This window comes from Homo sapiens, chromosome 6, assembly GCF_000001405.40.
Source record: "Homo sapiens chromosome 6, GRCh38.p14 Primary Assembly".
NCBI classification, from domain to species: Eukaryota; Metazoa; Chordata; class Mammalia; order Primates; family Hominidae; genus Homo; species Homo sapiens.
In genome coordinates this window covers 57,012,681-57,037,517 of record NC_000006.12, presented here as the reverse complement: position 1 = coordinate 57,037,517, position 24,837 = coordinate 57,012,681, and the positions used below count along the sequence as shown (strand labels likewise).

Below are 24,837 nucleotides of genomic sequence, written 5' to 3'. Positions count from 1 at the left end.
TACTAAAAATACAAAAATTAGCTGGGCGTGGTGGCACACGCCTGTAGTCCCAGCTACTCAGGAGGCTGAGGCAAGAGAATCACTTGAACCCCAGAGATGGAGGTTGCAGTGAGCCAAGATCACGCCACTGCACTCCAGTCTGGGCGACAATAGCAAAATACTCAGTCTCAGGAAAAAAAAAAAAAAGGAAAGGAAAAACAACACAGCCTGGATGACAGTACATTTGTTTACAGAAGCATTTACTAAATATTTTAAGTCCACTATTGAGACATATTGCTCAGATACAAAGATTTCTTACAAAATATTACTGCTCATTGACAATGTAGCTGGTAATCTAAGAGCTCTTATAAAGATATACAAAGAGATTAATGTTGTTTTCATGCCTGCTAAAACAGCATCCATTCTTTAGCTCATGGATCAAGTAGTTTTGACTTTCGAGTCTTATTATTTAAGAAACACATTTCAGGCTGGGCGCAGTGGCTCATGCCTGTAATCCCAGCACTTTGGGAGGCCTAGGCAGGTGGATCACCTGAGGTCAGGAGTTCAAGATCAGCCTGGCAAACATGGTGAAACCCCATCTCTACTAAAAATACAATAATTAGCTGGGCAAGGCGGTGGGGGCCTGTAATCCCAGCTGCTGAGGAGGCTGAGGCAGGATAATCACTTGAACCCGGCAGGTGGAGGTTTCAGTGAGTCGAGATTGTGCCACTGCATTCTAGCCTGGGCAACAAGAGCAAAACTCAGTCTCAGAAAGAAAAAAAATACATTTCATAAGACTATAGCTGCCATCGAGAGTGATTCCTCTGATGGATCTGGGCAAAGTAAATTGAAAACCTTCTGGAAAGGATTAACTGTTCTAGATACCATTAATATGTGTGATTTATAGGAGGAGGTCAAAATATCAACATCAACAAGAGTTTGGAAAAAGTTGACTCCAACCCTCATGGGTGAGTTTTAGGGTTTGGGACTTCAGCGAAGGAAGTCATTGAAGATGTGGAGGAAATAGCAAGAGTTAGATTAATTCTAGAGTTAATTCTAATTCTAATTTGAATCTTAGTTAGAATTAGATATGGAGCCTGAAGATGGGACTGAATTGCTACAATCTCATGATAAAACTTGAACAGATGAGGAGTTGCTTCTTATGGATAAGCAAAGAAAGTAGTTTTTGAGATGGCATCTACTCCTGGTGAAGATGCTGTGCACATTGTTGAAATGACAACAAAGGATTTAGAATATTACATAAACTTAGCTAATAAAGCCATGTCAGAGTTGAAGAGGATTGACTGATTTCAAAATAAGTCCCACTGTGGTTAAAATACTATCAAACAACATCACATGCCATAGGGAAATCTTTCACGAAATGATCAATAGAGCAAACTTCATTGCTGTCTTATTTTGAAAAATTGCCACAGATACCTTAACCTTCACTAACCAACATTTTGATCAGTCAGCAGCCATCGACATGGAGACAAGACCACCCACCAGCAAGAAGATTACAACTCATTGAAAGCTCTGATAATTGTTATCACTTTTAAGCAATAAACTTTTTTGTTTCTTTGCTTTGTTTTTTTGTAGAAACAAGGTCGGGGTCTTGCTTTGTTGTCCAGGTTGGTCTCGAACTCCTGGCTTCAAGTGATCCTACTACCTTGGCCTCCCAAAGTGTTGAGATTATAGATATAAGCCACTGCACCCAGCTGCAGTAAAGTATTTTTAAGTTAAGATATGTACTTTTAAAAGACATAATTCATTGCACTACAGTACAGTGTAAACATAAATTTTATTTGCACTGGGAAGCCAAAACATTCATGTGACTTGCTTGTTGTGGTATTTACCGTATTGCAGAGGTCTGGAACCAAACCTGCAATATCTCTAAGGTATGCCTGTGTTCTTCAGATGTATCTTTCTCTAGAGAACTTACATCATTTTCTGGCCTTCTCTAGTTCATTTTTTATAATCAAGTGCTTGTTTCTGAGGGACATACTAATAAATGCACGAATTGGCTTAAATCAGGGAAACTGAGACTTTTAGTACTGAGGACTATTCAAAATTCCTTCTTAAATGTATCTCATTCTCCTGAAGGTTTAGAAATTCTTTAAATATGACTCTCAAATCTGCATTTGGCCTGGTTCAAAATCTACTCTCCCTAGATTTAAGTGGAGATTATACCTTTATTGTCACCAACACAAGTTCAGGTGGAAAGGGAGAAGACGTAATGGAAGGCATCTACTCACAGGACATTCCCTATATGAATGTCATAGGAGATGCCCAAGGCCCATGACTCCAGGTATGTTTCTGGAAATGGGGGAGCTGCAGACACTTAAGTCTGGTTTTGGAATATTGTCACTTCTAGCCCCCTTTCTTGGTCCTGTATGAAAAATATGAGCAAGCAGAAAACCCATGGAATCATTTTGGAGAAATATTCAGTCCCAATAAATAATTGTCAGTATAAGCTTATATGTATGAATATCTCAACAAAACAGCTGGGTTCCTATCTAATGACCCATCAGACAAAAGAAAAAAGCAAAAATTATAGATATTATAGTAAGAATGTCATAAGGAAAAAGACACCAAAATGATAATAAGAAGAAGAAATTTTGGGTGAAACAGAGATTTTGTATGGAAAAATATTTCAAAAAGAAGGACAGCAGTAATAAAAATTGTCAGAGAGATACAGGTAGTTTTCTTGGTCTGCTTGAGCTACTATAACACAATATCATAGACTGGATGGCGTATAAACAACAGAAATTTATCTTTCATTGTCCTGGAGGCTAAGAAGTCCAAGGTCAAGGTGCCAGCAGATTCAGTGTCTGGTGAGGGCGTGCTTCCTGGTTCATAGACTGCTGTTTTTTTGCTGTGTTCTCCACGGCAGAAAAGGTGAGGGACCTCTCTGGGTCCTCTTTTGTAAGAGCACTAATTCCATTCATGAGGGCAGAGCCTCCCAAAGATCCCACCTCCAAATACCCTCAATTTAGGGATTAGATTTTAAAATATAAATTTGCAGAGGGATGGGGAGAGGAACACAAACATCCAGTCTATAGCATTACAGCATGCACATATAAGCCTATAATTTTATGAAAAAGGAATAATCTCTGAACAAGAAAAAACTCTTGGAAATTAGAATTTTGATGGAAAAATAAATAATTTAATAGATTGGTTTAAAATATGTAATAAAATCTCCCAGAAAGCAGGAAAAAGAAAGAAGCAAGGAGATTAAAAAATTATAAAGATAAGAAGTCAACAGAATCAATATATTATTATCAAATTGACAAATTAATTGGAATACTGGAAATATCTATCTATGTCTATGTCTCTGTATGTCCCCAGAATTAAAGGACGTAAGTATCCAGTTTGAAAGGGTCCATCATGTGCCCAGTGCAATTAATAAAAAAGGATATGCAACAAAGCAAATTTCCATCAAATTCTACTATATTGGGGAAAGAGAAAAATTAAAGGAGCCTCGGAGAGAATGGAGAAACATTTTCTGAATAAAATAATGAGAATTAGAATGATGGTAGTCTTCATTGTAACATAGGGTTTCCAGATTTAGTAAATAAAAATACAGGACACGCAGTTAAATTTGAATTTCATATGATTGAGTAACTATTTAGTGTAAGGTTATGCCAATTTTACATGAGATATACTTATAGTGAGAAATATTCATTTTTCATCTGATTCAAATTTAACTGAGCAGTCATCTTTACCAGCAATCCTGCAGTAGCAGCACTGGATCTAACTCTCCCGTATGATTATGAAAGTGGACTTTCTTACCTTTTTGCTCCTCTAAGAAATAAGAAAAAAACAACACAGAGAAATAAAAACAGGACAACAACAGTAAAAACAAAATACCAGGTCTGGTATCTTTAGCGATGTAAGTGACCGAAAATCTCTACCGAATCCAAAGACTTTTAAAAGTTGCTGTTGGAAGTTAAATTGGGCAAAAATGCAAAGAGAATGTCAAGGTACTTCATGAATGGTAGATCTCAGACAGCATCAATAAAAGTATACTTCCTGAAAATGAAACCACCTTTGCAAAAGTTATAACAGTGAGAAAATTTTGACAGTGGAGGGGATCTGACCTAACCAACTCCATTTTGCTTCTAACCTCCAAGCTGCCCTTGCTCATTCCAGACCAAAGTTCAAGAAAAATATTTCAAGACACATGTCTTCCATCTACCCTGCCAGCTACTTAAGTGTTCTTTTGGTTTATACCAAACTCCCAGAAGGGTATTAACCTTGCAGATATTTGCTTGCCCCTTGTAAAATTACCTGCATTGCGGGTAAACCTAGCGGTATGCCCTTGAGTTTTTATTGAAAATCATTGTAAGAAGAGATATATGTAAATTAAGATATGCTTAAACCCACCATTTGACAGATACCTGATAGAAGTTGCCTCATTCAAATCTAAACTTTGTGAGTAAGTGGTATCATCCCTATTTTATAATTAACTAAACTGAGACAAGTAAAATGGTATTTTGTCCAAAGGTATGGTGTTTGGACATGTCAGAAACAGAAGTAAAACCCAAGTCTATGCTATTTTTAGTCTAGAACAATAGTCAACATCTTCTACATTTGCTGCAAAACAAATATGATTGTCCATTGTAAAATTTTACATGATATTCCTTATTAAAATTTCCTCCAGAATTTAATGCAATAAAACCTTTATTTCACTGAGCAACTGCTTGCATCTTTGTTTCTTTAATAAAATATGTAATTTGCCTGGGTGCGGTGGCTCACGCCTGTAATCCCAGCACTTTGGGAGACCAAGGCGGGTGGATTGCTTGAGGTCAGGAGTTTGAGAACAGCCTGTCCAACATGGTGAAACCCTGTCTCTACTAAAAATACCCAAGTTAGCTGGGCGTGGTGGCAGGCATCTGTAATCCCAGCTACTGGGGAGGCTGAGGCAGGAGAATTGCTTGAACCCGAAAGGCAGAGGTTGCAGTGAGCTGAGATCACACCACTGCACTCCAGCCTGTGTGACAGAGTGAGACTCCGTCTCAAAAAATAAAAATAAAAACAACTATGTAACTTATAACTTTTACCTCAGAAACTCAAATTTAACTCAGTCACAACATCTATGTTAACCAGTATAGTAGTTCCTTTGCAAACTGCTGCCAATATTTCTTCTTTTGGAAATCAATGGTATATAAATAAACAAGTATAAATACACACTCATGCAGACATGAAGACAGTCAGTCAAACTGTATCAGAGGAATTGATATACACATAATACTACTTAATACTAGTGAAAAAGAGGTAAGTGCCAAAAGATAGGTTCAGATACATTGTCGCAATATTAAAGATGGGAAGAGGTGAACTTGGTTTCTCGAGTCGCCCACTTGGCCCTCTTCCAAGTTGTACTTTCCTTCTTTTCTTTCCTTTCCTTCCTGTTCTAAATAAAGCTTTTTAATAAACTTGCACTCCTGCTCTGAAACTTGCCTCGGTCTCTCCTTCTACTTTATGCCCTTCAGTTGAATTCTTTCTCCTGAGGAGGCAAAAATTGAGGTTGCTGCGGACCCCTGTGGATTCGCCGGTAGCAACTCTGAAGACTCCTGTGTATACCTGTTAAATAAATTTGGATGCTTTTTTCTACTATTGATCAATCTGCCTCATGTTAGTGATGTAACTGCCCAAAGAGTTCACCTTGCCTGCTGCTTAGACAGAGCTGATTTATCAAGACAGGGGAACTGCAATGGCCAAAGAGTAGTTCAAGGAGATCCTGCTGTGTGGGAGACCAGAGTTTAATTATTGTTCAAATCAGTCTCCCCGAGCATTCGGGATCAGAGTTTTTTTTGGTTTTTTTTTTTTTTTGCCTTTAAGCTTATTTATTTATGGGATCTGGTTTCACTGTGGGTGGCACTTCCACTTTAATGCAATGATCAAAAACATTAAGATCTATGACAGGATGGATATTGGGACAGTAAGCATGGCAATGTCATTGTTGCCAAGCCAAATTTTACAAGAGGCAAAGGAAAGCAAAGGGTAACTAGAATGCAGAGGTTCTTCATCATCATCTTCAATCAGCTGTCACAGAATTTCCCACTATTGAACCTCCCTTACAATTCTTACTTCTCCCCACCCCACCAGGTATCTGAAATAGAAAAAGAAGGAAATAATTATCCCTGAGAGACTTCTGCCTCCTTCTTTTTTCTTTTCAATAGCAACTTCAACTGTTGACAGAGTTTCCTTAGGATTCAAAGAAAAATTTTGAAGCTGAAAACAGAATAGTCTGTTTTTAAATAAATCTTAAAATATTTTCATTTCACACCCTTGTTCCATGAGGAAAAAATTTACATAGTGACGAATATGTTTTGTTCAGGCAGTGTGCAATAATAAAGTTTAGGCCAAATTAGATTTATAATTAGGAAACAAATGCTGGTTTGGTACTAAATTTAGGGATAAAATGAACCCATACCCACATATGTACTTATAGACACTAAAGCACAGAACAGATAATCTAGCTAGCATCCAGTGTTTCTTGACTTTGGCTGAATCTCTGTTCCCCAGAACAGACTGTAAGCTCCAAAAGGTGGGGATCATATTTTGGTCAGCTTTGGATTTCTTCAACACATTGCAGTGTTCATGCAAAGAGCCACTCACAGAAATTGTTGAATTCACTCAAAAAAGAAAACAATTTTGGCTGGGTAGAGTGGCTCGTGCCTGTAATCCCGGCATTTTGGGAGGCCGAGGCGGGAGGACGGCCTGAACCCAGGAGTTAGAGACCAGCTTGGACAACATAGTGAGTCCCCGTCTTTATGAAAAAACTTTCAAAAATTAGCTGGGTGTGGTGGCACACTGCCTGCACTCCCAGCTACTCTGGAGGCCGAGGCAAGAGGATCACTTGAGCCCAGGAGGTTGAGGCTGCAGTGAACTGAAATCATGCCACTGCACTCCAGCTTGGGCAACAGAGCAAGACCCCATCTCAAAAACAACAACAACAATAACGCAATTTTTATAAAACAGTTAATGAGGCTTGCTAAGGTGGCAGTAGACCCAAACGTAGATGTTCAAACAATGCCATTCTTACCCGTTTTGGAGTGAAACAGTGAAAGGGAAAGGACAGAGAATTAAACCAAATTAAACTAAAATCTCCAAGTCTGTAGTAAAAAAGAACTGCAGCAGGTTTAGTCAGTGAAAATTTTTTTTTCCCCTGAGACGGAGTCTCGTCCTGTTGCCCAGGCTGGAGTGCAGTGGCACCATCTCAGCTCAAGGCAACCTCCGCCTCCCGGGCTCAAGCGATCCTCCTGCCTCAGCCTCCCGAGCAGCCGGGACCACAGGCATGTGCCACCATGCCCGGCCAATTTTGTATTTTCAGTAGAGACAGGGGTTTCTCCATGTTGGTCAGGCTGGTCTCGAACTTCTGACCTCAGGTGATCCCGCCCGCCTTGGCCTCCCAAAGTGCTGGGACCACAGGTGAGCCATCGCACCCAGCCTGAAAATGGTTTTTAAAACATATTTTAATGAAAACACTTTCTCACCATCTTTAAATAAAAACAATTTGCATTTTCCAATCGGAAGCTGCTAGGGCACTAGGACTCATGTGCTTTCTACTCCACAGGTTTCAGATGCCACTGCACTACTAACTCCCCAGTGCTTTTGAGGCATGTGTTAGACATGTTCTCCTCTGTTGGAAGTCCTTGTGGCAACTTCAATTCTTATCAAATGCTTAACCACTTTCAATTTTGCATTCACTGAAGGGAATTCTGGTGAACTTGAGGGATATGTGATTTTTCCAATCCAAGCTTCTTTATTATATCTTTTTCCCAATATGGACGTATTTTGTACTTTTTATTCTGGTAACAATATGCAGTTTATGAGGGTTCTGTGGATCCCCACCATATTTTTCATGATCTTCAGGTGAGGCGTGAAACACTTTATCTGGAATTTTTGATCTGGTGAATTTGTGACGAATCCAATCTGTACAAATGAGACTCTACACCTTTTGTCACGGTCTGTAGTCTGCCTGGGGGCCTCTGAACTACTAAGCGCAAAGTCTCAGCCGTAAGTGTAGTGATTGCTCTCTTTAGAGGCAGCACTCGCTAAACGTTCAGACTGAACTTTTCCACCGAAGGGCGGGATCAGAGTTTTTAAGGATAATTTGGCGGGTATGGGCTCAGAAAGTGGGGAGTGCTGATTGGTCAGATTGCAGATGAAATCATAGGGGGTCAAAGTGAGTTCTTGCTGACTTCTGTTCCTGAGTGGGATTGCAGAACTGGTTGAGCCAGATTGTTGGTCTGGGTGGTGTCATCTGCTGCATCGCAATGCAGGGTCTGCAAAATATCTCAAGTACTGATCTTAGGTTTTGCAACAGTGATGTTATTCCCAGGAGGAATTTGGGGGAGGTTCAGACTCTTGCAGCCAGAGGCTGCATGGCCCCTAAACCATAATTTCTAATCTTGTAGCTAATTTGTTAGTCCTACAAAAGCAGACTGGTGGCCAGGCAAGAAGAGGTTTTTTGGGAAAGGGCTATTATCAATTTTGTTTCAGAGTTTAAACTATAAATTATTTCCCAAGGTTAGTTCGGCCTATGCCCAGGAATGAACAGACAGTTTAGAGGTTAGAAGGAAGATGGGGTCAGTTAGGTCTGATCTCTTTCACTGTCATAATTTCCTCAGTTATGATTTTTGCAAAGGCAGTTTCAGTGATTTTTAGCAAATCTTTATGGGGGTCAAGAGCCCATGACATCCACAATAACTCACTGCAGCCTTGACCTCCTGGGCTCAAGTGATCCTCCCACCTCAGCTTCCCAAGTAGCTGGGACTACAGGCACAGGCCACAATGCCCAGCTAATTTTTCTTTCTTTCTTTCTTTCTTTTTTTTTTTTAGTAAAGACGGTTTTGTGATGTTGCATGCCCGGCCAAGGGCTTTGCTCTTTGTTTACAGGTCCTGAAGGGCCTGGGAAGTGCAGGGCTGGTGACAGAAACCCTTTCAAATTCAGCTTAGATCAGAGAACTAGAGGAAGCAAGGATGCACAAAAAAATTTCCCAGAAAAGCCATACCTGTCAGGATCACTGGTCTCTGTGACAGCAAAGAAAGGGCCTTTGCAAGGTTTAAAGCCCAAAAGAAAACCCTGGCGTCTCCTACCATCCATGAAACTGCCTGTAAATTGCTGGTCCAGGAAAAACTATGTCATTAAACAATAAGTGTTCAAGAAAGACTATAGTGCAGCATCAATACAAAGATTTTATAAGAAACAATTCAATAAAGCTGGAAAAATGGATAAATGCATGAAAACATTCGCAAGAAGGATGATTTCACAGAACTAGCGAGAATGCTGACCATGTCATATATCCACCACAGGGTAAAGTTTTTAGTGAAATGATCACCTCTGTGTAGGAAAATCACAGAACACACATGTAGGAACTCATGTTAGTAAGTGTTTTCTTCGGCATTTTGGCTGAACTACCTTTGTATTGAAAATGTATTTCTTATTCAGAGAACATAAAAATATTCTTGCATTTAAAAGTTTTTTCATCTGAGTCCATTTTTTGCTTTTCATTCATCTGAAAGTTTCTATGTAATATGATTTGAAGTAGGAATATAACAATGTTTTCCATTTATTAGTTGTCTCAGTATCATTGAATAAACCTTCCTTTCCCTACTTATTAAAGATTCTGCTTTAACCATATTCTTAAGTATTATACATGTGAATACATAATATATATATATATAGACACATACATGTATATGAATTGCTTGCTGGGCACTCTCTTCAGTTTTATTAGTTTTCTTATTCTGTAACTCATTTAGAACCAATTTACAAAGATGAATAAAAAATACATTTATTCTATTATCTATAAAGATATCAACATATTTCAAAATACATAAGAAAAGACCATACAAGTTCCAGTTGAATAATACGGTTATGTTTTGCAAAAGTAATTTTATTTACCTTTAGTAGGCAAAACTTACATTATCAAGTAGCATTTTTAATAAAGCAAATAGCATACATCTTAGTAAGATTATCCTTTCTCAATAAAAATATTAAATGTATTTACTTTCCTGGACGTTGTCTATATATCCTACATAGCATGGCTCTTTACAAGAAAAATGAGTCAGAGCTACATAGTCAAATCGTAATGGTAATGCCTTAATGGATGAGTGAAAAAGCTATCAGCCTAGAAAAAAATATTTCCCTAATTTTTATGCATTAATAAAGAAACAAGAAAATAAGTTTTATCTTTTAAATGGGATTTATTTATGTTTACATAAAGGTAGCAAATGTTACATAAGTTGTTTCCTTAAGAACATTTATTTTGTACAATCACATTGTTATCAAGCAAGACTTATGGAAAATTTCCTGGGTCCACAACACTGAACTTTGAAACTACTGTAGCATCCTCTTTTCCAAGTTTAAACATGACTTTGTGCACTGAAGAAGTATGGCTTCGCATTGCACAGTGGTCACATGTGACAACCTGACACCAAGCGAGAAGCCTTTTGATGAAGAATGTTTTATCTTTTGTTGAGTTACAAAATGGTACTTTCATGTGTGTGATTATCAAACCCATATTTTTTTTCAGTTCATTTCTGCTACAATAAAAATAAACCAGTTAAAACTAAGCAGTATAGCAATGTAATCGACCAACTATCTATCATGTTATATCTTATATACGATGTGTTAGGTGATATTGATGCTTTATATTACACATCTGTATTTAATATACTTTGGGCAATACAAAGTTAGAACATGTCTGGTAAATAAACAAACAAAAAGATTTCCCTGAAAATTGATGCATTGTTTTAACAATCACAAAAACTTAGGTTTATTCTTCAGAAGTGTGGTGGAATTGCTTAACATTAAAATAAAACATCTTGCTGTTGTCATTTTTTTCATATTCCCATTTTATACATTTTTAGATAACAGAATAATCCTGTAATTTTATTGCTAAAACATTATTACTTGGTTAGACATGATTATCAGATTTTGGGCTGACTTTGTTGTTCTCATATTTGCCAACATTAATTATTTCACTGTTTACTTTTGCAAGCATGTGCTTATGCTAAAGATCCAAAAACTATAATGGGAAGTCACTGGTAATAATCAATGTACAATGATTGGTTAGGACAATGACTAACCTATGGGCTGAAGTTTTGGCTGCTATGATAAGAGCTCTGACTATCCTGTTAGATTAACTGTACAGAGGGGTATTTGGGGATTGGGAAATGCTTATTTCCAAAGAAACCATATTGCATGCTTATTTGACTGGCAGAAATTCTCTGGTTTGATGCATCACTAGTACTGAGGGTGGAATCTACATGCAGCTTCTTCAGCAAGCTTGTTGGTCCCTTAGGAGAGCTCAGCAATGTTACATATGTCTTACAGCCTGTCACTGCACATGTCTGTCTTTCTCACTGCCAGGAAGGCTGCAGATTCTCCAACAAAATCCAGTGCTAGATTTAGAATTGAAGGTGCTTTGTTTCAGATACCTGTAATACCTACAAAAAGCAAATTTCAAAGAAATACAAATTTATGTTAACATTCTCGTAGTATTTTAACAGTTATATGAGTTATTTGTTTTTGTATCTACTACAAATTTGTATTAAAAATACAAATTGTTGAGGGACTCTGGTTCCAAAATAGCAGTGTAGAAGCAAGCTGGCTTCACTCCCTATCACAGAAAACCAAAAACAAACATACAGTGCCAAGATTTTCACCAGCAATATCCCAGAACTCAAGTAAGAGGATGAAACAGTTTCCCAGGCCACAGAGAAGTTAAAAAATAAAAACGAAAAGCTCCAAGCAGGTGGTAAGAGATTCAGGCTTCCTTATCCACAATAATCCTCTCCCCTAATATCCCCAGCATCAAACACAAGGAAAATTTCTTCCTGACTCAGTTTCTACACTGCAAAAAGTGAGATCAAGGTGGACAGTGAGCTTCCTCATCATCTTGAGGCACCAAATCAGAGTGCCTGTTCAGCAGGACTACACTGTAAGAGGTGTGTTCCACAGGTCCCCTGAGCATGGATCCCTAGCCAGCCTTTTCACATAACCAGGATATCCTCTTTGGGACATCCCCCATTCAGGTCAGGCAGCACTCTGATTGCTGGCTAGAACTGAGGCAAACTTGGGCTTAAGGCACCAGTTAGTGCCAAAAAGGAGGCAGTGACCTAGTTGGGAAAAAAGAGAAAATCAACTGGTATATTACAAATAAGCAAACATATCCAATAAAAACCAAAACAAGTCAGACCAAAAAGACAGAAATAAATAACTAGTCTTTCAATGCAAAGTCATAGATGTAGATCCACAAGAAATAATAGCAAACAGGAAACAATGACCTCTTCATACAGACAAAGCAAGAAATCAGTGACTGACCTTAGTGAGACGGTGATATGTGAACTCTCTGACCAAGAATTCAAAATAGCAGTTTTAGGGAAACTATGTGACCTCCCAGAAAACAGAAAAACAATTCATAAATTTATCAGAGATATTTAACAAAGAGATAGGAATAATTTAAAAAATCAAACAGAAATCTTGGAATTGAGAAATACATTTGCTGAACTGAAAAATTCATTAGAGGCTCTCAACAGCAGAATGGATTAAGTGGAGAAAATAACCTGTGAAATCAAAGACAGGCTTTTTGAAAATATACAGTCAGAGGAGCAAAAAGAAACAAGAATGAGAGGAATGAAGGTCACCTCCAAGATACAGACAATTAACTCAAAAGACCAAATCGAAGACTTATTATTATTCAAGAGGGAATCACACAAGAGCAAGGAGTGGAAAGTGCTTTTTAAAAAATAGTAACAGAAAACTTCCCAAAACTTGAGGAAGAGCTAAATATCCAGGTACAGGAAGGTCAGAGAACACCAAACACATTCAACTCAAATAAGACTACCCAAAAGCATGTAACAAATTCTCAAACATCAGGGACAAAGCAGGATTCTAAGAGGAGCCAGAGAGAAGAAGCAACTAACATATAAAGGAATTCAAATTCACCTGGCAATAGACTTCTCAACAGAAACCACGCAGGCCAGAAAGGAGTGAAACAACATTTTCAAAGGGCTCAAAGGAAAAAAAAAAACTGTCATCCAAAAATACTGTATCCAGCAGAGTTATCTTTCAAATGCGAAGGATATGTAAAATCTTTCCCAGAGAAACAAAAGCTGAGAGAATTCATCACCAACAGTCTCATAAGAAATCTAAAGAGAGCTCTTTAGTCTGAAAGACAAAAATGCTAATGTGCAAGAACAAAACATCTGAAGGTATAAAACCCACTGGTAAAATTAAGTATACAAACAAACCTAAAATTATCTAAAACTGTAATTGTCATTTACAATCCACTCATAACACCACTACAAAGCTCAAAAGACAAATGTATCAAAACAATAACATCTACAGCAACCTATTAAGAGATAGGCAATATAAAAACATGTCAATGAGACAACATAAAGTCAAAATGTGGGGTGAATGCAATTAAACCGTAGACCTAAGAAACCCCTTTATAAAGTTTTTTTAAAACTTCTTTGTAATAAAAATCGTCATCTTTTAAAAACAACTTCTTATGTGTATATTTTTATAAGCTTCATAGTAACCACAATGCAAAAACCTTTAATAGATTCACTAAAAATAAAAAGCAACAAATTACAACATATTACCAGAGAAAATCATTTAACCACAAAGGAAGACAGTACAAAAGGAAGAAAGGAAGAGAGGAGTTAGAAAATATACAAGCTACAAAATAGCAGTAGTAAGTCCTGATCAATAATAACACTGAGCCTAGGCAACATAGTGAGATCCTAGCTTACTAGCTAGGTGTGGTGGCATGTGCCTATAGTCCTAGCTACTCAGAAGGCTGTGGTAGGAAGATCGCTGGAGCCCAAGAAGTTGAGGCTGCAGTGAGTCATGATCACACCACTGCCTGGACAAGAGTAAGACCTTGCCTCAAAGAAAAATAGTAACATTGAATGTAAATGGACTCAGTTTTCCAATTAAAAGGTATAGGATGGCTGAATGCAAAGAAACAAGACCCAACTACCATGTTGCCTATGAGAAAGCCACTTCACCTATAAAGACACACATCGATTGAAAGTGAAGGTGTAGAAATAGATACGTGATGCAACTGGGAACCAAAAAAGAGCAGAAGTAGTTATATCAGGTAAAACAGGTACAAGTCAAAGACTGTAAAAAGAGACACAGGAGGTCACTTATAATAATAAGGAAGTCATTTCAGCAAGAGGCTATAATAGTTTAAAATGTCTATGCACACAACACAAGAGCTCCCAAGTATATAAAGCAAACATTAATAGATCTAAAGGGAGAGACAGATTGCAATATAATAATACTGAGGAACTTCAACACCTCACTCTCAATAATGGACAGATCCTCCAGACAGAAAATTGACAAGGAAACACTGGAGTTAAAGTACACCATAGATCACATAGGCCAAACTGATATTCACAGAATATTTCACCCAACTGTTATAAAATACACATTGTTTTCATTAACACATGGCACGTTCTCCAGAATAGGCTATATCTAGGCCACAAAACAAGTCTCAATAAATTCAAAACAGTAGAAATCATATCAAGTATTTTTTATGACCACCATGGAATGACACTAGAAACTGATAACCTGAGGGTCTCAGAAAATGCACAAACACATGGAAATTAAATAACAAGCTCGTGAATGACCAATGAAGTAATTAAGAAAAAAAGTATAAAATTTCTTGAAACAAATGTAAATGGAGATACAACATTCCCAAATCTATACTATACAGCAGAAGCAGTACTGAGATGGAAGTTTGTAGCAATAAACACCTATATCAAAAAAGTAGAAAGACTTCAAATAAACAACCTAATGGTGTACCTCAAAGAACTAGAAAAGCAGGAACAAACGGAGCCTAAACCTAGTAGAAGGAAAGAGATAATAAAGATCAGAGCCAAAAAACAAAAAACAAACAAACAAAAAAGGAGATTTAAAAAACCAGATCAATGAAAGAAAAAACTGGTGTTTTTAGAAGACAAAGAAAATCAGCAAACCATTAGCCAGACTAAGAAATAACAAAGAGAAGGCCAAATAAATAAAATGAGACATGGAAAAGGATACATAATAACCGAGACCACACAAATACAAAGACTCATTAGAGAGTATTATGAAAAACTCTTTGCCAACAAATTGGAAAACCTAGAAGAAATGGTTAAATTCCTGGACACATACAACCTAGCAAGATTGAACCATGAAGAAATAGAAAACTTCAACAAATCAATAGGGAGTAACAAGATCAAAATTATAATAAAAAGTCTTCCATCAAAGAAAAGCCCAGTACCTGATGGCTTTACCCCTGAATCTACAAACATTTGAAGAGACAGTAATACCAGTTCTGCTCTAATTCTTCAAAAAAAAAAAAAAAAAAGAAAAAGAAAAAAAGAAAAATTGAAGAGGAGGGAATACTTCCAAACTCATTCTACAAAGTAGTATTTCCATGACACCAAAACCAGAGAAGGGCACAACAAAAAAACAAAACTACAGGCCAGCATCACTGATGAGCCAGATACAAAAATCTTCAACAAAATACTAGCAAACCAAATTCAACAACGATGTTTAGCAGCATCCCTGGCCTCTGACCACCGGATGCCAGAAGTACCACCAGTTTTGACAATCAAAAATATCTCCAGGCATTCCTAAATACCCTGCGTTGGAGGAAGGTGGCTAAATCACACCTCCCTCTCCGCCGCCCCCCACCATTTTAGCACCACTGTATTAGATCACCTATAAGTTATAATATATGTTATGTAACATTACGCCAGAGATTATATACCCTGAGGCCGCTTTGGAAATTTCAGGAGAAGGCAGTTTGGTCACTTAGTTGGATGTTATAGAGGTGATAGCCTAATATTCTGTAAATCTTATAAATACATTTTTCTTCAATGCCTGCAAGAAAGAAGTAAAAAATGGAGACAGGCTGGAAAAAAATCAAGCTCTTGCATGTGAGAGCTACAGGCAACTTTAGGGCAGCCACAGGAATAAGAAAGAATATATTAAAAAAAGGGAGGAATTTAGGCCTTACCCTCACAGACCTGAGCCATAGCTGGGAAATTGTTACCCTTTTAAATCTAAGCCACCAGTGACAACCTGAGCTCAGGACTGAGTGGAGGGCACGGTCTACCACAGGGACCATGCTAGAAAAGTAAGTTTTTCAAAGAATATTTTTGGTGGCAGGGCAGGGCCATAGGCTCCTGTGAGTTAAATGACTGAGAACAGAAAAATATAACAGTATTCCACTAGATGGTGCTATATCTGATTAATTTATCAAGCATGTCCAAATTAGGTCTTACCTGACCCTGTCTTTTCCAGCATATTTTCCTCAGTCCTTTTTGCAATAATTTGAATTCAACCATACTTAAAATGAAAGATATTTGCAAATTTAAAAAATTCCATTCTAGCTAATCTCCATTACTGATTCAAAATACATGCATTTCCAGTCTAAACAACTTGGCACTATTAAGTCAGGCTCAGGTTCAAAAGGCACAAAGTTCATAGCAAAATGTCTGTTCCTTGTTTCAATTTTAATTAATGCCATAGCTAGCAGATTTAATAACACTTCTATTGTTAAGTACAAGCAAAACTGATATAAAAATCTCTTAACTTTCACTTCTTTAACATTCTGCTGGCTGATATAGTCAGAGATGAGTTTTGTGCCTATCCTTGGAAGTCAGAAATATTAAAAAAAAAAAAAAAAAAAAACAAGAGTTTAGGATATCAAAATGCTTTACAGACCTCTGAAATATAACAGTGTGCCCCAAAAGATAGCCACTTGACTTGGAGGTCTGGTAACATACCATTTAGAAAAGGAAATTGCCGGTCACGGTGGCTCACGCCTGTAATCCCAGCACTTTGGGAGGCCGAGGTGGGCAGATCACTTGAAGTCAGGAGTTCGAGACCAGCCTGGCCAACATGGTGAAACCCCCGTCTCTACTAAAAATACACAAATTAGCTGTGTGTGGTGGCGCGGGCCTGTAGTCCCAGCTGCTCGGGAGGCTGAGGCGGGAGGATTGCTTGAACCCAGGAGGTGGAGGTTGTAGTGAGCAGAGATCGCGCCACTGAACTACAGCCTGGGCTACAAAGCAAGACTCCGTTTCAAAAATGAAAAATAAAAAAGAAAAGACAAGGAACTTAGTTACTGGGTGGAGTGCTTTCTGACATTTGAGGAGTTCAAGGTGGAAGGATTGCTTGAGCTCATGAGTTCAAAACCAGCCTGGGCAACAAAGTGAGAACACTGTTTCAAAAAAAAAAAAAAAAATAGAGAACTTGGTCATTATACATCAAGGTAACTGGGTGGGTAACCTCATGTCAAAATAGGAAGTACTAAGGGCATATTTAAGCAATTATCTAATAATTGAAAAGTTGTGAGGTCACAATCTACTGAAATTTATAATCACTTGGAGAAAAAAGATACAGGTAACCTTATCTTTTATAACTTCTTTTTTTGGAAACAAGGTCTCACTCTGTCCCCCAGGCTGGAGTGCACTGGCAACATCACAGCTCACTGTAGCCTCCACCTCGCTATCCTCCCACCTCAGGCTCCTGGGTTACTGGGACTACAGGTGTGCACTACCACGCTGGGCTAATTTTTTTTCTTCCGTATTTTATAAAGATGGGGTCTTGCCATGTTGGCCAGGCTGGTCTCGAACTCCTGGGCTCAAGTATCTGTCTGTCTCAGCCTCCCAAACCATTGGGACTACAGGCGTGAGCCACCATGCCCAGCCATGTTCTCTAACTTTTAAAGTCAGTCTAACAGTATGTGTGAGCCAAGGGAAAGAATTTCACTGCAGTTGTTACAAGTAATAGTTTTTTGATTTGTTTATGTTTTTGTTTCAGGAAGACAGACATTGTTGACTCTCGGCAGAGCTGGTCTTAGTTGTGTAGCAAAATAGATAAGGGACTCTTGGGGGAGGATGGGAGTGGTAGTCAGTAACATGTAGGGCGTTTGGGGCAGGGGATTACTGCATTACATTCAGCTCCACATCTCATTTAAAACATGGTCAGAAGAAATGAAGTCAAGTAAAATGGTCTCGAAAGTGGCTGGTATTAGGCAGAAGACAGGCAAAGTACAAGTCAAAGATAGAAGTGGAAGGAAAATGGAAAGAAAAAAGGAATATCTGTGGTGGGCCTTACCCTCATGTGTTACCCACATGCCTCTATTAATCAATGAAAATTTTAACACGTCATACACATGGTTTCACGTATTTTCCATCAAAATAGTTGAGAGAGAGGAGGGGTAAGTAAAAGTGAGCTAGCCAGGATAGTGGGTGGCAAAATTCCACTTCACAGTTTTGCCTGGGTCAAGGCTTGACTAGAAAGTCTATTTACTTTAGAACTCTCACTAAAAAATTATTCTTTTTCTTAGTATAGGACATGCATCTTGGTAAAAATCCTTATTAAACAATAACAACTAATTTAAAAATTTAAAGACCATGCGAAGCAACATGTAGGATGGTGGAGAAGAACGCTGCACACTTCAGCCAATAGTTTGCACAACTGTCAGACCACTGTTAGAGCTAGCTGTAAGTTCAGTCTCATCGATGTACTTCAGATTTCCCAAGGGTCTAAATCTCCTCTGTCCTAGAGAGAAATACTTCTTAAATTGTCATGTGTCCTTCCTTTGGCTCCTTTCTATCCCCACCAAGTTAACAGGATTCTGTGAAAAAATTTCCTCAGTAAAACACATTTGGAAAACACTACATACTATATCCCTTTCTTAGAGATTTCTGGTGCACATGAGCATGTTAAAAGGGCATCAAAATATCTGAGAGGTTCTGAGGAAGAAAAACTGAACCCAGCATTTTCCAATTCAAACCCCACTCCCAGTTCTCCCCTTTTGCCACCAGGAATACCTATTAGCTTTTCATGGGTCACTAGTATTTTCTAGTAGAGTGATTGGAAAATGCTATTCCAATAAAATAAAAGTATTATGACATTTTCTTGCCACATTGAAAGGACTGAAGATTTAAAAGACTTACCAAAAGGATCTATTTAATATCCTGAGAGTTAAGATTTTTGCTTAAATTTGGCTTCTTGGTACAGTTGTTTAGCTTTTGCCCTATCATTCTCCTAATTGAAACATCATCCGTATTGGGAAATAATTGTTTTGTTACTCCTGTAAAAAACCAATAGCGACACATGAGAAACTTCATGAGTGCTTTGCATCTTAGGGTATGAACTGAGGTAAAACATCAAGTATTCTACATTATAATTTTTTTTCCATTTTACAAAAGTAGCCCAAACACCCATGAGCTATTTAAACAGATGAATATATAGGCAGGTTTTTCTAAGTAAAGCAAGAGATATCAGAAGGTCTATATTATCAACTGAGATCCTATGGTAGTGATTAACTTTAATCCTCCTACTTGCTTTAAACTCTAAGTCCTCTTGCTCTAAAATGTTAGGAATGTATTTTTATCCATTTCCAACATTAATTGAAACAACTAAACTCTGACTGATCTTTTTCTGTATCTGTCTGCCTCAGCCTCCCAAACCATTGGGATTACAGGCATGAGCCACCACGCCCAGCCATGTTCTCTAACTTTTAAAGTCAGTCTAACAGCATGTGTGAGCCAAGGGAAAGAATTTCATTGCAGTTGTTAGAAGTAGCAGTTTTTTGTTTCAGGAAGACAGACATTGTTGTATGTTAAGAAATGACATATATAGAGCTAGGATTCAGAGAATCCTTACATTTGTCAGATGTTGCCAAAAAATTAATTGGATAATCTAGATTATATTTAAGGAGATTCATTAATTTAAAAACCATAAATAGGATGGTCAAATTAGCCTTTATCTTTCTGGAATGAAAGATAAGACATATAACAAAAGCAAGGAAGAAATTGTTATTGAAATTTTACTTTAAAAGATTGTGAAAATTTACATTTCCAAAGCTATAAATTGTATGAATTGAAACCTTTTGGTGATATAAAACTTAGTTTCATTTTAATAACCATTGTTAATGTAAAGTTTTTCTATAAAATTTCCCATATTTAATGAGAGCTTTAGACTATCCTAAGATTTTTCTTTCCCAGAAAAATAAACTTTAAAAAATAAAAGGACCATGAAAGACTATCTTGACCTTGAGTGGTAACATGATTTAAAATTCATACGACAATATAACGCAATCATATTATCACCTATGATTTCTTGGACTTCATTCTGATTCATAGCTGGTTTTACAGCTTTGTCCCTTGAAGTAGAGGATTTTGCCCCTGTCAGGCTGTGAGTGGCCATGTATTCATTTGTGTAAAGTACTTGCATTAAATCATTAATAAACTTCTGAGGCTTGCTCTTGTTACAACGGGCAATCTGCCATTTTTCAATCTGGAACTAAAAAGATAAGAAAGAGTTGAAGTTGGAAAAAGAAAGTGCTGTATGGAGAAATATGTTACTAATTGAGTTAAGGCATAAAAGAAAACAATGTCAACATTTTTTAAGGTAAGATATTATATATATATTTTAATATATATTTTACATTTTAATTTAATATATATTTTACATGTCAGGGATTAGATTTAAATGTTATCTTTGTGATACTCTTCAATATTTATGAGGTATTTGTTATAGGGTGTATACAAATTCTTGTCATGTAAACTGGATTTGGTCCTTTCAGGCTTAGTCCCATACTCAGTGCTTCATCGTAAATGTAGTAGGCAGAATAATGGCCCTCTGAAAGGTCACATCCTAATCCCTGAAACCTATAACACGTTGCCTCACAGGGCAAAAACAATTCTGTAGATGTGATTAAAGTTAAGTACCTTGAGATGGGAGATTATCCTGGATTACCTAGGTGGGCCCAATTTAATCACATGAGTTCTTAAAAGCAGAAGAAGGAAGCAGAAGGGCAGATCAGGAAAAAGAGACAGAAGAGGGAGGGAAGATCTGAAGTGTGAGAGGGACTTCACTTGCTGTTGCTGGCTTTGAAGATGGCCGAAGTGGGCTGTGAACCAAGGAATGTGATTGCTTCTAGAAGTAGGAATGGCCTTCAGTTTACAACCAGCAAGAAAATGGGGAATTCAGTTTTACAACCACAAGAAAATGAATTCTACCACAGCCTGGATGAGCAGGAAACAGATTCTGCCCTAGAGCTTTCAGAAAGAAATGCACCTGCTAACACCTTGACTTCAGTCTAGTGAGACCTGTACCAGACTTCTGATCTATAGAACTCTAAGATAATAAATTTGGGTCATTTGAAATCACTAAATTTGTGATAATGTGTTATATAGCAATAGGTAACTGATACACTAAGATTCAAATATTTTGAATGTCAGATTGTTAGTTAATATTTATCATTTTTGATGGTATACTTACTGAGGCTACCTGATTCTAACAAAACTCCTGTCTTTTTAGCATCTGTGTCTTGATTAAGTACAAAAACAGAAAAAGAATTGTGTTCAGCCAGCATGCTGAGGCTGAAATTTACCTCTCAATGATATAAAATTGTATAACCCTGAATGCATAGGTATCCTTCTGTCACTGGTATGAGAATTTTAAAGTTTAATAACTTTATCTTTGTACCCAATTTGCTTTAATTTTCTAAACTGGGTATTTGTTTTACAAATATTAGTTTTTATTATAAAAGGACAACAGTTTTATGCCTTTGGTTCTCAGATTGATCTTGACTTCCTCAGAGAAGACCTTCTTCTCCCTCCTAAGTCAAGCCCTGCCTTCCCTTTCCTCAGGCTAGGTCAAGCGCCTTATGCCTCTTCTTTTTTTTTTTTTTTTTCAGACGGAGTCTCGCTCTGTCGCCCAGGCTGGAGTGCAGTGGCACTATCTCGATCTCGGCTCACTGCAAGCTCCACCTCCTGGGTTCATGCCATTCTCCTGCCTCAGCCTCCCAAGTAGCTGGGACTACAGGTGCCCGTCATCACGTCCGGTTAATTTTTTTTTTTTTTGTATTTTTAGTAGAGAGGGGATTTCACTGTGTTAGCCAGGATGGTCTCGATCTGACCTCATGATCTGCCCGCCTCAGCCTCCCAAAGTGCTGGGATTACAGGGGTGAGCCACCACACCTGGCCACCTTATGCCTCTTCTTTGTGGTACTTAAGAATTGTAATATTCCTATTGAATAAAACTATTTTATCCAATAGTTATCTGATAAAACAATGATCATTTTCCACCCTTATTTAAATTTTTTATTTAAGCATATTCCAAAGAACAATAAGGCGGGTATTACAACTGACCTGTTTCTCATCAGTCTGATGCTCTTCCTCAGGCTTTAAGGAAACTGGTGAACTGGAGTTAGAATTAGAATTACTGCATGTTGAGGCAAATGAATCTGGCGAGGAGTTGTTTGTTGCTCTCCAGAGGGTGGATGCAGATGTAGACATGGTTCCCCCACCCTTAAGCAGAGCCTCGGCCATACCAACCAATTCTTCAAACTGGGTGACTGCTTGTGGTAACACTAAAATGGCAAGAAAAAGTACACTTTACAAATACCATTGATAATAGGTGCATATGTACATATTTTTTTGTTGAGTGTATGTGCATAGAAATATGCAGAACAAACTTAACATTTGCTATCTTTGGAAAATAAACATGGCAGGAAAGGTGTTTGGAACATATTTACTTTTATTATTAAATAATTTAGTAATTGCTTAATAATAATAAAGCAATTAAAAACATTTGGTCATTGCAGTTAAATGTATATGCATTACTTTGTAACTAAAAAGAATGTTTTAAAAGTTGATTCTTTTTTTTCTAGTTGCTAGGGGTTTTATTTGAAGGTGTTGAGTTGAATCTCTTGTTTGGAGCTATTACTGATTCTATTATCAATCACCTTCTAGAAGCTCACATTAGGCCTGTTTATGTGCCAAGATAAAACTAGCCATTTCTCAAAGATGAAAATAAATTTTCTATGACCTTCGTGTATGGTTTACAAGGGAGTCAAATTTCATCAAATTATTAAAAATGCACTGCCACAATTCAAACCTGTGTTGTGATATATTAAAGATGAATTTTGGTAATCAATGGAATATTTTCTTTGTTCCTTTTTTCAAATGGAAACTTACACATTCAAAGTTTTCATGCCTCCATGTAAAATGGTCTTCTCTGTTGTTATATCTAGTTTGTTTCCTAAGGACAAATAACATGTTGTTGGAGTTGGAAGAGATCTTGAACCTTGTCTAATTCAGTTCCTCACTATATGGTTGAGGGCACAGCCTGCTGGAGAGGTGAAAAAACTCTGAAACTTTTTTTGTACTTTTCTTAAGCATATTATTGAGCTACAATTTTAGAATAATTAATGATGTGCAAATCGGTATATCTGGTACTATATTAAAGGAAAATCTACTAAAGAAGAAAATCTTATTTTCTGTTCTTTCAAAAACATTTATTAAGCACCTCTCATGTACCAGACACTTATTCCATCAGTAATTACTTATTGAGCATTTAATAATATTAAACATTTATCTAGTTTATTTTTTCTCTGTGCTAGGCACTATTCTGAGATCTTAACTGATGTTCTTTCATCCAATACTCATTGCAACTCTCTGAGATAGGTATTATCTTTACCTGCCATTTCCAGATGAAGTCAATTAGGCAAGAAGAAGTAAAGTAATTTGTCCAGAGTCAAACATAGTTAGTGAAGAGAAGAGCCAAGATTCAAATTCAGACTGGCTGCCTCCCAAGTCCATGTTACACAGATTCTCAGTATTTGCCAACCACTACGCTAGGTGTGAGGGATAAAACTGGGAGCAAAACCAGATGTGATCCATGTCGTTTTGGAGCTTACAGTCTGAGGGGTGAAGGGGAGACTTATTTACAAACCAGGCTGTGTAGCAAGAATTTTGCCCTGCTCAAAGAATGATCTGGCCTTTGTCCCAGTTCCTGGGAAGTAACTGTTCCTTGGAATTTCTTGACTGACAGGAGTATCTTCGCCACTCATCATGAGCTCCTGGGACCATGCCTGATAGTTTATGCTAATGAGCTGACTCACGGTGGGGCCAAGTCATGCAATAGCCTTAGGGTGGCAGCTGGCCACAGCTTGAAATCCAGAAAGACCAACCATATGATTTAGAGACTGAGTTCAACCACATGTGCAGTCAATCAACCGATCAATCATGCCTACATTATGAAGCTCCAATAAAAAGTTTGGACAGTAGAGCTCTGGTGAGCTTCCTGGATAGACAATACTTTATGTGTATTGTCACATATAGATGCTATGGGCATAAGGCATCCTGAGACAACCAAAGCCTCACGTATGTGGAAACCTCCCAGACTCTGCCCTCTTTCTTAGGCTGATTCTAATTTGTATCCTTTCCTTGTAACAAATGTTCTGTGAGTTTTTCTATTATAGCAAATTATTGAATATGAGGGTGGTTTTGGGAAACTCCTGAACGTGTAGTTGGTGTCAGAAGTATTAGGCACTCTTGGCAGTGGGGAGGACACTGCCCTTAACTTTGCAGTTTGGTTTACTTGAGGTATATGCAAAAAATAAAAAATCACAATTCTTAAACGCCACAAAGAAGAAGCATCAGGTGCTTGACCCAGGATGGGGAATGGGAGGGCTTGACTTGGGTGGGGCAAGCAGGGCTTCTCTGAGGAAGTCAAGATTCATCTGACAACTTAAGGCTGAGCAGGGATTAAATTGCCGTAGAGAATGAGGGGGTCGTTAGAGGCACAGGAATAGCACCTTCTTCATATGAGGAACTGAATGAAGGCCAAATCTAGAATGTAAGAAGAAAAAGGGAATTTGGTATGAAGTGGGACTACAAGAATATTTACTATTTTTTTCAAATTATGTTTGTACATGTTCATTGGCATACATCATTCTTGTCATTTCTGCCTGTGTATCTCTATTTTTATTAATGTATTTTCTTTTACATAATTAGAACCATGCTGTATACATTGCATTG

At 37.6% G+C, this 24,837-nt stretch overlaps 1 protein-coding gene and 1 pseudogene across 8 annotated transcripts in view, besides 1 other annotated feature; both read right to left on the bottom strand.

Moving 5' to 3' along the window:
- Positions 6,751 to 7,251: an enhancer, noted in NCBI's record as "H3K4me1 hESC enhancer chr6:56895065-56895565 (GRCh37/hg19 assembly coordinates)". NCBI's record gives its function as "activates a minimal SCP1, AML or CMV promoter by ChIP-STARR-seq in primed H9 embryonic stem cells {active_cell/tissue: H9 hESC(primed)}" and the evidence as "EXISTENCE:reporter gene assay evidence [ECO:0000049][PMID:30033119]".
- MRPL30P1 (mitochondrial ribosomal protein L30 pseudogene 1) lies at positions 7,452 to 8,081 on the bottom strand (annotated as a pseudogene).
- Positions 10,172 to 24,837, bottom strand: part of BEND6 (BEN domain containing 6) — a 72,240-nt gene continuing 57,574 nt past the window's right edge. For 2 of the 8 annotated variants that reach the window (XM_017010406.2, XM_017010407.3), the window contains exons 4-6: positions 22,165 to 22,385; positions 20,119 to 20,311; positions 18,964 to 19,097 (exon numbers count right to left, since the gene is read on the bottom strand). In XM_017010406.2, the coding sequence (XP_016865895.1) occupies positions 18,970 to 19,097; positions 20,119 to 20,311; positions 22,165 to 22,385 (542 nt within the window). In that variant the 3' untranslated portion in view covers positions 18,964 to 18,969. The other 6 variants (NM_152731.3, XM_005248889.2, XM_047418320.1 and 3 more) reach the window with 6 other exon arrangements.